Genomic DNA, 13288 nt, shown 5'->3' on the forward strand with positions numbered 1-13288 from the left:
AACCATATATGTCAATCTATAACAAGCATCTTACTCGATAATGAAAATTAGATGCTTTTTCTTTAAAATCAGGAACAAAACAAGGTGCCAATTCTTGCCACCTCTATTGAACATAGTAGTGGAAGTCCTAGCCAGGGCAAATAAATAAGAAAAAGAAATAAAAGACATCTAAATCATAAAGGAAGTAAAATTGTCTCTGTTTGCAGATGACATGATCTTAAATATAGAAAGCCCTAAAGACACCACCAAAAAACTGTTAGAAGTAAGAAATAAATTCAGTAAAGTTGCAGATACAAAATCAACATTAAAAAATTAGTAGCATTTTTGTATACTCACAACTATGTGAAAAAAATCAAGAAAACATTCTCATTCACAATAGCATAAAAATATTACTTAGAGATAAATTTAACTGAGTAACCAAATATCACCTGTTCCCCAAAAACCTATGGAAATAAATAAATAAAGCCACCAATGATACACATAAAAAAGAGGTTAAATTAATGACACTGCAAAGAAAAACTCAATGAGACAACAGGACTAGTATTTCCAGAAAGTGAGAATCTTGATTGAATCCTGCTTGGGGGATGACACAGTAGCTATTTAAAAAAAGAGACAAGTGGAAAAATCTGAAATAAGGACTTCATGTTAAATTAGGGAAGTATTTTAAGTGGGACAATGGTATTAAGGTTATATAGAATCACATTCTTAGGAGATGCATGGTTAAGTATTGTCATGTCTATAAATTTCTTTGAAATAGTTCATATAAAGCAAATATTGCAAAATATTAAAAAAGGAAGAAATTTAACTGAGGAGGCAAAAGATCTGTATACTGAAAACTATGAAACATTCATGAAAGAAACTGAAGATACAAATAAATGGAAAAATATCCCCTGTTCATGGATTAGAAGAGTTAATATGGCTTTTCACTTTCTTGATGGTGTCTTTGAAACACAAAATTTTGTACTTTAGGTGATGTCTGTTTTATCTGTTTTTTTCTTCTGTTGCCTGTGTTTTCAGTGTCTTATCTAAGAAACTCTTGCTTACTCCAAAGTCATGAAAATTAAAGGCTATGTTTTCTTCTAAGTGTGTTATAGCTTTGGCTCTTACATTTAGATATTTGATCTAATTTTAGTTAATTATTTATATGATGTGGGGTCCAACTTCATTCTTTTGTGTGTGGATATCCAGTTGTCCTTGCACTATTTGTTGAAAAAAACAGATAATGGTGGAAAGCTCCACTGAATTGTCTTAGCAATTTTGTTTTTGTTTGTTTTTGAACTCCTATCTGTAGCAGACTTAGCAACTTTGTTGAAAATCAAGTGACTGTAAATGTGAGGGTTTTTACCAAACTGTCCTGATTACTGTAGCTTTATAGTAAGTTTTGAAATCAGAAAGTGTGATTCCTCTTTGTTCATCTTAAGATTGTTTTGGCTATTTTGTATCTTTTACATTTCCATAGGAATTGTAGAATTAGTTTATCAACATCTGCAAAGAGCCAGCTGGGGTTTTAATAAGAGTTGAATTGGATTTTTAGGTCAATTTGTGGAGTATTGCCATCTTAGCAATATTAAATCTTTCTATTCATGAGCATGGATAGCTTTCCATTGACTTAGGCCTTCTTTACTTTCTTCAATGATGTGTAATAGTTTTCAGTATATAAGTCTTGTACTTTTGTTAAGTTTATTCATAGTTTCTTCTTTTTGATGATATTGTAAATAAAATTGTTGCCTCAATTTCATTTTTGGGTTGTTCATTGGTAGCGTATAGGACTAGAGTTGATTTTGTTTATTGAGCTTATATCCAGCACCTTGTTGAACTTGATTATTATTTTAAATAGTTTTTTTTGTGTGTAGATATCATAAGATTTTCTGTATGCAAGATCATGTGATTAGACATAGTTTTACATCTTCCTTTGCAAACTGGATGCTTTTTATTTCATTTTCTTTCTTAATTACCCTGGCCAGAACATCCAGAACAATATTGAATAGAAGTACCAAGTGTTAACATTCTCATTTTGTTTCTGGTCTTATAAGTAAAGCATTCACATTTTTTACCATTAAGTATGATGTTAGCTGGGTGTTTTTGTAGACACCTTTTATAAAAGTGTTGAGGAACTGTCCTTGTATTCTTAGTTTGTTAAGTGTTTTTTACCAGGAAGTGGTAAAAAAAACTTTGCTTTTTCTAGTGTCTTAAGGTGGGAGGTTAGTTTACTGATTTGATATATGTTTTCTTTTTTAATGTAGGCATTTAAAACTGTAAGTTTTTCTTCAAGCACTGCTTTATCTGCATCCCATAAGGTTTGGTAGGTTGTATATTCATTTCCACTCATCTCAAAGTATTTTCCAATTTTCCTTGTAATTTCTTATTTGACACATTATTTATTAATATTAGTGTGCTATTTAGTTTCTGCATATTTGTTAACTTCCTAAATTTACTTGTTATTGATTTATAATTTCATTCAATTGTGGTAGGTGGAGAACATACTTTGTATAATTTTAATCCTTTTGAATTGATTGAGGCTTGTGCTATAGTCTAGCATATGGTCCATCCAAAAGAATGTTCTCTATGCACTTGAGAAGAATAGATATTCTGCTGTTGTTGAGTAGAGTGTTCTACAGAGGTTTGTTAGAGTTGGTTTAAGGTTGTTCAAGTATGCTACCATTTTATTAGATAATATTAGGCAATATCTTTGTGTGTGTGTGTGTGTGTGTGTGTGTGTGTGTGTGTGTGTGAATGGCATAGTATCTGACTATTGTTTTTCTAAACCCATTTTCTCCCAGGTCCATTTTTTTTTAATTGTGGGGATTTGAATAGCACTGTAAGTTCTAGAAATACTAGCTAAGTTATAGAAGAGCTGGCTGTATGTATGAAGTGAATACATTTTATTTTAGGTAAACTATACCTCAGTAAAGTTGATTTAAAAATAAATTCATAATTCTAGGGAAAAGTTAAGTCGATAAGCTACCCTTCCTTAGGATAACAAATTAATTTATAAACAGAAAGCTTTTGAAGGCTTACCACTTTAAAAGAGATTAAAAGAAAATCCATCACACTTTTTTCTAAATAGTATTTAAATTCATTTTTTTATCTCCAGTAGTCTTGTTATATAAATTTATCTTTTCTTTTTAAATTCTTGAGCAAAATGCATCTGACTTTATTATTATTTGTTAAAGTTTAAAAAAGTTATCAATTGGCAATACCTGACCTTAAAATTCTAGCTGTCAGTCATCTCAGGCTAGAAAAGCATATTTACCAAAGGTTGTTCCTTAATTTAAAATACAGTGTTCTCACTCTTTGTGTTAATTTAAAAAGAAAGGGTTGATTTCAACTCTTGCTCTTCTCCTGATATTGCCTTTCAAGGTAAAAAGCAATTTTGGATAGATTAAAAGCCTAAATTAACCATTAAAAGCAGGTAGACTTGTCAAGTCATCTTAATGGATTCATTGAGAATTCAAAAAAATAATAAATCATAGCCTTCATTATGTGTCTTTAGCTGGCAAGAAATCTTTTTTCAATGAGAAAGCTAATCATTAACAAATACGTGTTACCATGGGAAGATAATGTTTAGGTATACCATAGTTTTAACCCTCAACATCCTAAAGAAGAAAATTTAGCACAACAAAACCCTTTCACTGCCTACTAAAAGTAAAGCACAGTGTAAACCTGACTTAACTACAGTAGATAATTTTGAAGGTATGTTTTGAAATTGATGGCCCAATTTTATTTTATTTTTTTTATTATTTTTTTAAAATAGTAAATATTTTAATTTATTAAATTTATATTTATATTTAAAAGATAAAGGAGGAAAATAAAAGCATTTTATTATTATTATTTTTTTTAAATAAAACTATATATATATTTTTTTTAATTGATCATTCTTGGGTGTTTCTCGCAGAGGGGGATTTGGCAGGGTCATAGGACAATAGTGGAGGGAAGGTCAGCAGATAAACAAGTGAACAAAGGTCTCTGGTTTTCCTAGGCAGAGGACCCTGCGGCGGCCTTCCGCAGTGTTTGTGTCCCTGGGTACTTGAGATTAGGGAGTGGTGATGACTCTTAACGAGAATGCTGCCTTCAAGCATCTGTTTAACAAAGCACATCTTGCACCGCCCTTAATCCATTTAACCCTGAGTTGACACAGCACATGTTTCAGAGAGCACAGGGTTGGGGGTAAGGTCACAGATCAACAGGATCCCAAGGCAGAAGAATTTTTCTTATTACAGAACAAAATGAAAAGTCTCCCATGTCTACTTCTTTCTACACAGACACGGCAATCATCCGATTTCTCAATCTTTTCCCCACCTTTCCCCCCTTTCTATTCCACAAAACTGCCCTTGTCATCATGGCCCGTTCTCAATGAGCTGTTGGGTACAACTACCGGACGGGGTGGTGGCCGGGCAGAGGGGCTCCTCACTTCCCAGTAGGGGCGGCCGGGCAGAGGCGCCCCTCTCCTCCCGGACGGGGCGGCTGGCCGGGCAGGGGGCTGACCCTCCACCTCCCTCCCGGACGGGGCAGCTGGCCAGGCAGGGGGCTGATCCCCCCACCTCCCTCCCGGACGGGTTGGCTGGCCGGGCGGGGGGCTGACCCCCTCACCTCCCTCCTGGACGGGGCGGCTGGCCTGGCGGGGGCTGACCCCCACCTCCCTCCCGGACGGGGTGGCTGCCGGGCGGAGACGCTCCTCACTTCCCAGACGGGGTGGCTGCCGGGTGGAGGGGCTCCTCACTTCTCAGACGGGGTGGCTGCCGGGCGGAGGGGCTCCTCACTTCTTAGACGGGGTGGTTGCCAGGCAGAGGGTCTCCTCACTACTCAGACGGGGCGGCCGGGCAGAGGCACTCCCCACATCTCAGACGATGGGCCGCCGGGCAGAGACGCTCCTCACTTCCTAGATGGGATGGCGGCCCGGAAGAGGCGCTCCTCACTTCCTAGATGGGATGGCGGCCGGGCAGAGACGCTCCTCACTTTCCAGACTGGACAGCCAGGCAGAGGGGATCCTCACATCCCAGACGATGGGCGGCCAGGCAGAGACGCTCCTCACTTCCCAGACGGGGTGGTGGCCGGGCAGAGGCTGCAATCTCAGCACTTTGGGAGGCCAAAGCAGGCGGCTGGGAGGTGGAGGTTGTAGCGAGCCGAGATCACGCCACTCCACTCCAGCCTGGGCACCATTGAGCACTGAGTGAACGAGACTCCGTCTGCAATCCTGGCACCTCGGGAGGCCGAGGCTGGCAGATCACACGCGGTTAGGAGCTGGAGACCAGCCCAGCCAACACAGCGAAACCCCGTCTCCACCAAAAAAATATGAAAACCAGTCAGGTGTGGCGGCGCGCGCCTGCAATCGCAGGCACTTGGCAGGCTGAGGCAGGAGAATCAGGCAGGGAGGTTGCAGTGAGCCGAGATGGCAGCAGTACAGTCCAGCTTCGGCTCGGCATCAGAGGGAGACCGTGGAAAGAGAGGGAGAGGGAGACCGTGGGGAGGGGGAGAGGCAGAGGCAGAGGCAGAGGGGCAGAGGGGCAGAGGGGCAGAGGGGCAGAGGCAGAGGCAGAGGCAGAGGCAGAGGCCAATTTTAATATTAAGGTCAGCAAACACCATTAAGCGTCTAGCTGTAAGAACTAAAATAACAAGGGTGAGTGATTAATGCTGTCATTGTTTTTCTAATTTTTATTTTAATAGATCTGTCTTGGATGGTTAATTCTAGATGATAATGTTAAGTTTCTCATAATTTGGTGGAAATACTGACATGAAATAGCTGGAAATACTGATATGTATAAAAACAAATGAACACTCTCTAAAAATACACGTCTTATCAAAAGAGTGAACAGTTTTTTTGGGTAAATTTTAGCTTAAAGATTTAGTCTAGATGTAAGTTAAGGAAACTTTATCCTGTTGTTTTTGCCTCAGAGGTTCTTCTTCCTTTCTTCTTTCTTCCTTCCTTTCTTATTACAATTTATTTGTGTGCATTCATTTTCATGTTTATTTGTTTAATGTCTATATCCCATGTTTGACTCTTATGTATATGTATTTTACCACTGTATATCCAGCATCTGTACCATGCCTGGCATATAGTATGCTCTATGGCACATGCTGTCAAAATTTTGTTGAATGACCAAATTGATAAAATGTCAAGAGATCTGCTCTGAAATCCAGTCTTAAATTCTTTCTGATTTAGTAAATAACTTGAGCGAGTCACTCTCTACTTTGTTTGTCTTCCTTGGTTTAGCGAATAATAATAATACCTCACATACAATATGTTACATATTTATAATATTCATTTTTATAGCATCCACTGAGTGATTATTATGTGCCAGGTACTTTTCTAGGTTTTAGGGGCACAGCAGTGAACCAAAAAAGACAAAAATATCTGCCTTCATGGAGCTTACATTCTAGTAAAATCTGTTGTTTGCTTTTGGTCTTGACAACAACCCTGTGAAGTGGGTAGAGCTGCTAATTCTATTGATTTACTAATGTGGAAGTAGAGGCTATGTGAAATTAAGTATCTAGTAAAGATCAATCAGCTAGTGAGTTCGAGAAGCAGATATTTGTTGTCCAGTGCTTTTCCCATTATGTCATCCTTTCTCCCATAACTCCTCATCTAGCATGTGGAAATTTTCTGAGGAAAAGTAAGATCCAATTTATTTAACCTCTTCTGTAAAATAGACTGTGTAAGTACAAACTGATAACGTGACTCAGGTTCTAAAGTGGCTTTAAGAACTATGGCATTTCAAGATACCTTAAATCTAAAGAAATCTTAAAATTTTAGTCTGAATCATTTTGTTTAGATATGGCCCATTACTATTTTGTAACACCTGCCTCTTATACCTGGTCTCTTGACTGTAGGATTTGGGGCTTACTATTGTTAAATGCTCTAGTACTCTACATTAGCATAGAAATCTAGACATTGCCCATAGCGGATAACGTATTAGTTGCTAAGCAAGGGAAATTATTATGCCATCTGCTGCGTCTTATAAGGTGTGTTATCACCTAACTCACTTTTTGAATCAACACACCAAAGACACCATAAGTAATGTAAATTATGGTAGCTTGTACATTTTTCAACTGAATAAGCAGTTTATAAAAAACAAAAAACCCACCTAACTTTGTGACTCTTCTAAATTTTAATAGATGCCTAGGAAAAATTATTTTTGGCCTTCAAACTTTGTTTCCATGAGATAATCTTTTCTTAGACCATTAGATACCCTGTATTCAAACTTAAAACAAGAATTATTTATTGTTATGAACTTACAATAGTTCTTTGGCATTCTTAGTAAGTTATTCATAGAAAATCAGCTATTTATTTTAATCCAATCATTTAAAATTCTAGAAAGCACTGAAATGCCCCAAAATATGCTTAAGCTTGCATAGAGGAAACTAGACATGGAAAATATATCTATTTGACAGAAATAACAAAGTCATTTCTTTATAAATCTGCCCTAAAGGCCATATATTTAATATAATTCTATTTGATTTTTGCCCCACTAACGAATTGGATTACCATAGAAAAAACACTTCTCAAAGTGTGTTCCTTGAGTATATTTCCTAAGAAATTAACCAGTATTATTGGAGGAGAAGAAAGATTTCTGTAGTTATATATGATTTTTTAAATGCTTGGTTAAAGAGGTTTCTTCACTATAGGACTTCTCAGAACTGTAACTATGTGAATATGTTAGTGTGTATTGTAATCTCTAGTGGGCAATATTCTTCTCAGTCACAGAAAGATTTCTTCTTAGGAATATCTTGTAAGACTAGTGTTCTGGAAAACACAATATGGAAAACACTACCTTAGAGTAAATGTTGGTATTTGCTTAATAGCTATGAAGTCTATATATTTATTATGGTTGTTCTTCAGTCCTCTTCCACTACAGCATACTCTCTCTGGGTACTCTCAATTGTACTAAAGGCTTTAAATACCACTTGCAGTCTGATGATGTCTGTATATGTAAATTCACCAACTCTGTCTCCTGAGCTTTAGATACATATGCATACCTGCTTATCCAATTTTTTAATATGAGTATTGAGGACTTCAAACTCAATTATCCAAAACTGAGCTCAATAGCTTCCTCTCAAACCCGCTCCTCCTGCTGCTTTCTTGTTTTATTATTGGAGATCACCGATATCCTCCACTCAACTGCCCAACCCAGACACCTGGGAGCCATCCTTACTCTTTTTACTCACTCTCTCTTCTCATGCAACCATCAACATAACCTAACTATACTCATTCTTTTTTTTAAAAGACATTTATTCAGTGTCACGATCAGACTATTACATTTAGCAATCAACAGCATGGGTGAAAAACAAATTTACATTAAAACCTTTTGTTGGAATGCTTTATACTTTCCACAGAACAGAAACTAAAATAACCCATTATACAATTAGTCACAAATACAATCCCTGAGTCTTTTGCCCACACACATGAGTATTTGTCTAAAACATGTCTTCTTTGTAGCAGCTAGGCCCTGCCACCACCGTGCTTGGCTGAGTTCACAAATCTGTTGTAACCTGTAGCTTCCCTATCACTTCTCTGGCTCTCCTCTCCTGCTAAGCTTTGTTTCCCAATTAAAATCTTCTGCCACTGCCATAGCTACTGCTGCTACTGGAACTTCCATAGCCACCTTGGTTTCCTGGTTGGGCAAAGTATTGGCCTCCACCACCACAGTGGCCAGAGCTTCTGCCTCCAAAGTTTCCTCCCTTCATGGGTCCAAAATTTGAAGACTGATTGTTGTAATTGCCAAAATCATCATAGCTTCCACCACCTCCAAAATTGCTTCCATCATTGCCAAATCCATTATAGCCATAGCCACTGCCACCATATCCACCACCACCATGGCTGCCACCAAAGCCACCATGACCACTGAACTTTCCTCCATGACCAAAGTTGTCATTCCCACCAAAACCACCTCCACGACCACCACCAAAGTTTCCAGATCCACTTCAACCTCTGGCTGGAGGAAGCACTAGCCATCTCTTGCTTTGACAGGGCTTTCCTAGCTTCACAGTTGTGGTCATTCACAGTGTGGTATTTCTGAATGACAATCTTATCCACGGAGTCATGGTTGTCAAAGGTTACAAAGGCAAAGCCCCTTTTCTTGCCACTGCCTCAGTCAGTCATGATTTCAATCACTTCAATTTTCCCATACTATTCAAAATAATCTCTTAGGTGATATTCTTCAGTGTCTTCTTTAATGCCACCAACAAATATCTTTTTAAGTGGGCACCTGGTCTTTGAGAATCTTCTCTTGAGACAGCTCTGTTTGGTTCCACAAGTCTTCCATCCACATTGCGTGGCTTTGCATTCTTGGCCACATCCACCTCCTCCACAGTGGCATATGTGATGAACCCAAAGCCCCCGGAGTGCTTGGTGTTTGAATCTCTCATTACCACACAGTCCGTGGGTGTTCCCCATTGCTCAAAATGGCTCCTCAGGCTCTTATCGGTTGTTTCAAAGCTCAGCCCTTCAAAGAAGAGCTTCCCTAGCTCTTTGGGTTCTTTAGGAGACTCTGACTTAGACATAACAGCAGGGAGAAGAGAGAATTTAACGATGCTTCTTCAGTGGCATCTATGGGCAGAAAGGCACTATCCTCATTCTTTATAGCCCTCAAGTAAGTCCACTTCACTCAAATTGCATTTAACTTAACTAAAGCCTTTATCATCTTACATAGATTGCCAAAGTAACCCATCATTCAATAGAAATATAATGTCAGTCACAACACAAACCATGTATGTAATTTGAAATTTTCTAATAGCCACATTAAAAAACATAAATATAAGAGATAAAATTAGTTTTTAAAATATATTTTATTTAACCCAATATATGCAAAATAACCCAATATATGCAATATATGCAAAACCCAATATATGCAAAATACATTGCAACATGTAATCACTGTACAATTATGGATATATATAAATGAATGATATATTTTACATTGTTATTTTTACACTAAGTCTTTGACATCCAATGTGCATTTTCCACTTTAAATCATCTCAATTCATACCAGCCACACTTGAAGAGCTCAGTAGCCACATGTGGCTGGTGGCTATGATATTGGACAGCACAGCTCTGACTGGTTTCCTTGCCTGCAGACTCTCCCCTTCCACTTCATTCTCCCCAGCTGCAGCCAGTGTGGCATGTTTGATTCTATCACTTCACTGTTGAAGGTCCTTGAATGATTTTGCATTGTATAAGCTTTCAAGACCCATGATAATAAGCTGTACTTACCTCTTGAACTTTATCTCATTCAACTCCATTCTAAGCTCCATACATACTGATATCTTTATGGTTGTTTCCCAAAGATATCATGCCTTCTCTCTTCTAGGCCTTTGTACATGTTGCTTTCTGCTTAGAATTATCTTCCCCAAATATTTTGCCAAGTGAACTCCTATTTAGGTCTCAATTCTTCCAGGAAATCTTCCCTCAATGCAAAAGTCTGAATAAGCTGCTACTCCTATGAACTCTCATTGTATCATCTGCTTACCTAATATTAGAATTTATTGCAGTGTGTCTTATTGTATCCACTGAGGTAAACTTTGTTACAGTTTATCTCTCCTGCTAGACTGTGAGCTCCATGAAGGTAGGTAGCAAATTGTGGTTCATTTTTTTCTCATAGACCATAGATAGTCCATGGCTGGTGCAGGGACTCAAGAATGTTATTAAAAGATCAAACTTCTCCCACTCAGCCATTCTTCAGTGTCAGTTTGTCACTGCATGCTCACAAAAAGGCTACTGCAGCTCCAGGTACTAGACTCAAGTGCAAGGCAGGAAGAAGAGGAAAGGGAGCTATGACAGCCATGTCTGTCCATTTTATGAGGAAATCAAAAGCCTCCCCAGAAACCCCCAGTACACTTCCCTTTAGAGCTCATTGGCTGCTGCTGTGTCACATGGCCACATCTGGCTTCAAGGAGGCTGAACAAGGTAAATACTGACTGCACAGTAGAAAGTGGCATGGAGAAAGGAAATAGGAACACCTAGTGAGCCAGCTAAACATAAATGTTTGCTGTAAGTACTTCTTTTGAAGTCTTTCTCTCTCCTCAACCCCCAAGATTTGGGGAGTGTTTGTGCTTTGTGTGTTTGAGATATTTGAAGTTATATGACAAGGTTGTAGGTGTATGTTTGAGATATATGAAGTTATGTTCCAAGGCTGTAGGTCTATTCTAAAGCCAGAGCTCAACAATGTAGGGGAAAAGGAAATGCATTTCCTTCCTTTTTACTAAGATTGCAAAGTAAATGAAGTGGGAACTGGAAGAATACACTCCAAATTTTACTTAACAAAATGATAGTGAAGCAATAATTTAGTTTTCTTGGATGGACCTCCAATCAGCATGAAGTCAATGACTCAATGGGGCAGAGATGAACACTTGAGTCACAGTGCATTAAGTCCTGGCAATTAATGCATAAACAGAGTCACTCACTCTTTGATAAAGCACAATAGGAATCATTCCTTTGAAGGAGTAGAGTGTCAGCTTATATATGAAACTCTCCTACTAGTATAGTGACAGCTGATTCTGCTGGCTAGGTGATCCTAAATTGCTGAGCCTTGTTTCTATAACCAGAGATAAGATCAGAAATGAATATGAATAAAAGTTGATCTAGAATGTAAAATAGTTGATCCAGCCAGAGCAGACTGCTTCTCAGTGGCAGGAGTGCTGTTCTGGCCATGGTTCTGCTTTATAAGGCAGCCTCTCTGGCAGCAAGCATCAAGTGAGAGTATGATGCAAAAGTATCTATTGATCCTGCCAGCATCTATTGAACTAACATGATTCATTCTTCAACACTCACTTCCTGATAAATAGAAACAAAGTCAGAATGATTGAGTGCCTTGAAAGGGTCAGTGTTTCTGGCTCTGGAAATACACTCTGCTTTGCTTCCCCATTTGTTTCTCATCAGTGGATTTGCTTCAGATGTTATCTAGCAGCAGGGAGACCATTACTGCATGGACATGTCCTGTTACAGTGACATTCATTCAATTTTCTAAAGTGAAGCATGGGCCGTGGACTGTCTGAATGTCTCTAAAAATATAAGACAAGCAGCTTATGTTTAAACGGTGATTAGACACTTAAAAATTTGGAAAGCTTGAACTTATGCATATTTAATAACAGTGATAGCTCATTTTTCATTCTTTGAGTTAAAAGGCTTGGAAGTATCAAAGACCATTAGAATTCCTCGAAAATTTCCAGACATTATTTATACTATTATATGTTATTCAATATTGTTTCCTACCAAACTCTTTCATCAGAACTGCTATGGAGTTGCAAAACTGATGTTGGACCTCAACTTTCTGCCTCTCTACAGGTCCGAGAGAGTACTAGTAAGTAGCAAATGGGGAAAGCCCATCCATTAGAGGGAGAGGAGAAAAATAAAAGTGTCTAAATAATCCCCAAACTCTGTAGTCTATCACTGAATTATCTAGGGTTGACTATTTCCCTTAATTAGCATTTGTAATTGTAAACAGATCTGCTTATTTGAATCTTTCTTGAGCCAGCATCGTGTATAACGTGGCATTCTACAGTTATGCAAACAAAGGCACTGATTTTTAATTGATATGGAAATTGCTTACAGTGAGCTTTTATGAAGAGCAATTATTGCATTGGAAAAAGATCTAAAGAGTAGTTATTAATCTTTACAAATTTTGATTTGGGTGTAAATGCATCTGATCTCTAGGGTTCTATAGTGGAGAATGAATTTATGTGTTAGCCACATTTATGTCATTTTTCCAGATATCAGATTCCTGGTGCATTTGTAGTTTTTGCCTAAACAAATGTTAACTTCAGGCTTGGTTTAGTTTACTTCCTTCTCAATATATTGCATCTTTTATTCTTCCCTAAGTATACTCAAACACATTATCAGAATTTTTGCTTCCATGATTATGCTTCGCCTTCCTCAAGGTCAGAGATCCTGTCTTCATGATCTTTGTAAGTCTGTAACACAGCACAATGCCTGGCTCATAGGAGGCATTCAAATAAAAGTTGAAGGAAATGAATTTAGCCTAAATAAGTGATTTGAGACAAATAAAATAATCTGTTTGTCTGCCTTGCCTTATCTGCAAAAGAGGCAAGTATTTTGATTTATACCACAAGTATATTTTGCGAATCAATATACAGTAGTAGGAGAGTAATTGTTCAGAGGCTGATTGTTGCACAAAATTCAAGAAAAAAAATTACCCTGTGGTTCTCTGCTGTTATGAGTCTACATAAAATCCTACTCTCCTTGATTTGCTAATATTGCAAGTACCTGAGCAATTTGCTGTTCCCACCTATTCCCAATCTAAATAGTACTAATGTTTTGCAGGTTTCTCATTTCCAT

The 13288-nt window shown here is 38.0% G+C and overlaps 1 pseudogene, besides 1 other annotated feature; it reads right to left on the minus strand.

The window, feature by feature from the left end:
- Window positions 3812-4627: an enhancer, noted in NCBI's record as "NANOG-H3K27ac-H3K4me1 hESC enhancer chr4:78904281-78905096 (GRCh37/hg19 assembly coordinates)". NCBI's record gives its function as "activates a minimal SCP1, AML or CMV promoter by ChIP-STARR-seq in naive H9 embryonic stem cells {active_cell/tissue: H9 hESC(naive)}" and the evidence as "EXISTENCE:reporter gene assay evidence [ECO:0000049][PMID:30033119]".
- HNRNPA1P56 (heterogeneous nuclear ribonucleoprotein A1 pseudogene 56) lies at window positions 8194-9559 on the minus strand (annotated as a pseudogene).

Source organism: Homo sapiens, chromosome 4, assembly GCF_000001405.40.
Source record: "Homo sapiens chromosome 4, GRCh38.p14 Primary Assembly".
NCBI classification, from domain to species: domain Eukaryota; kingdom Metazoa; phylum Chordata; class Mammalia; order Primates; family Hominidae; genus Homo; species Homo sapiens.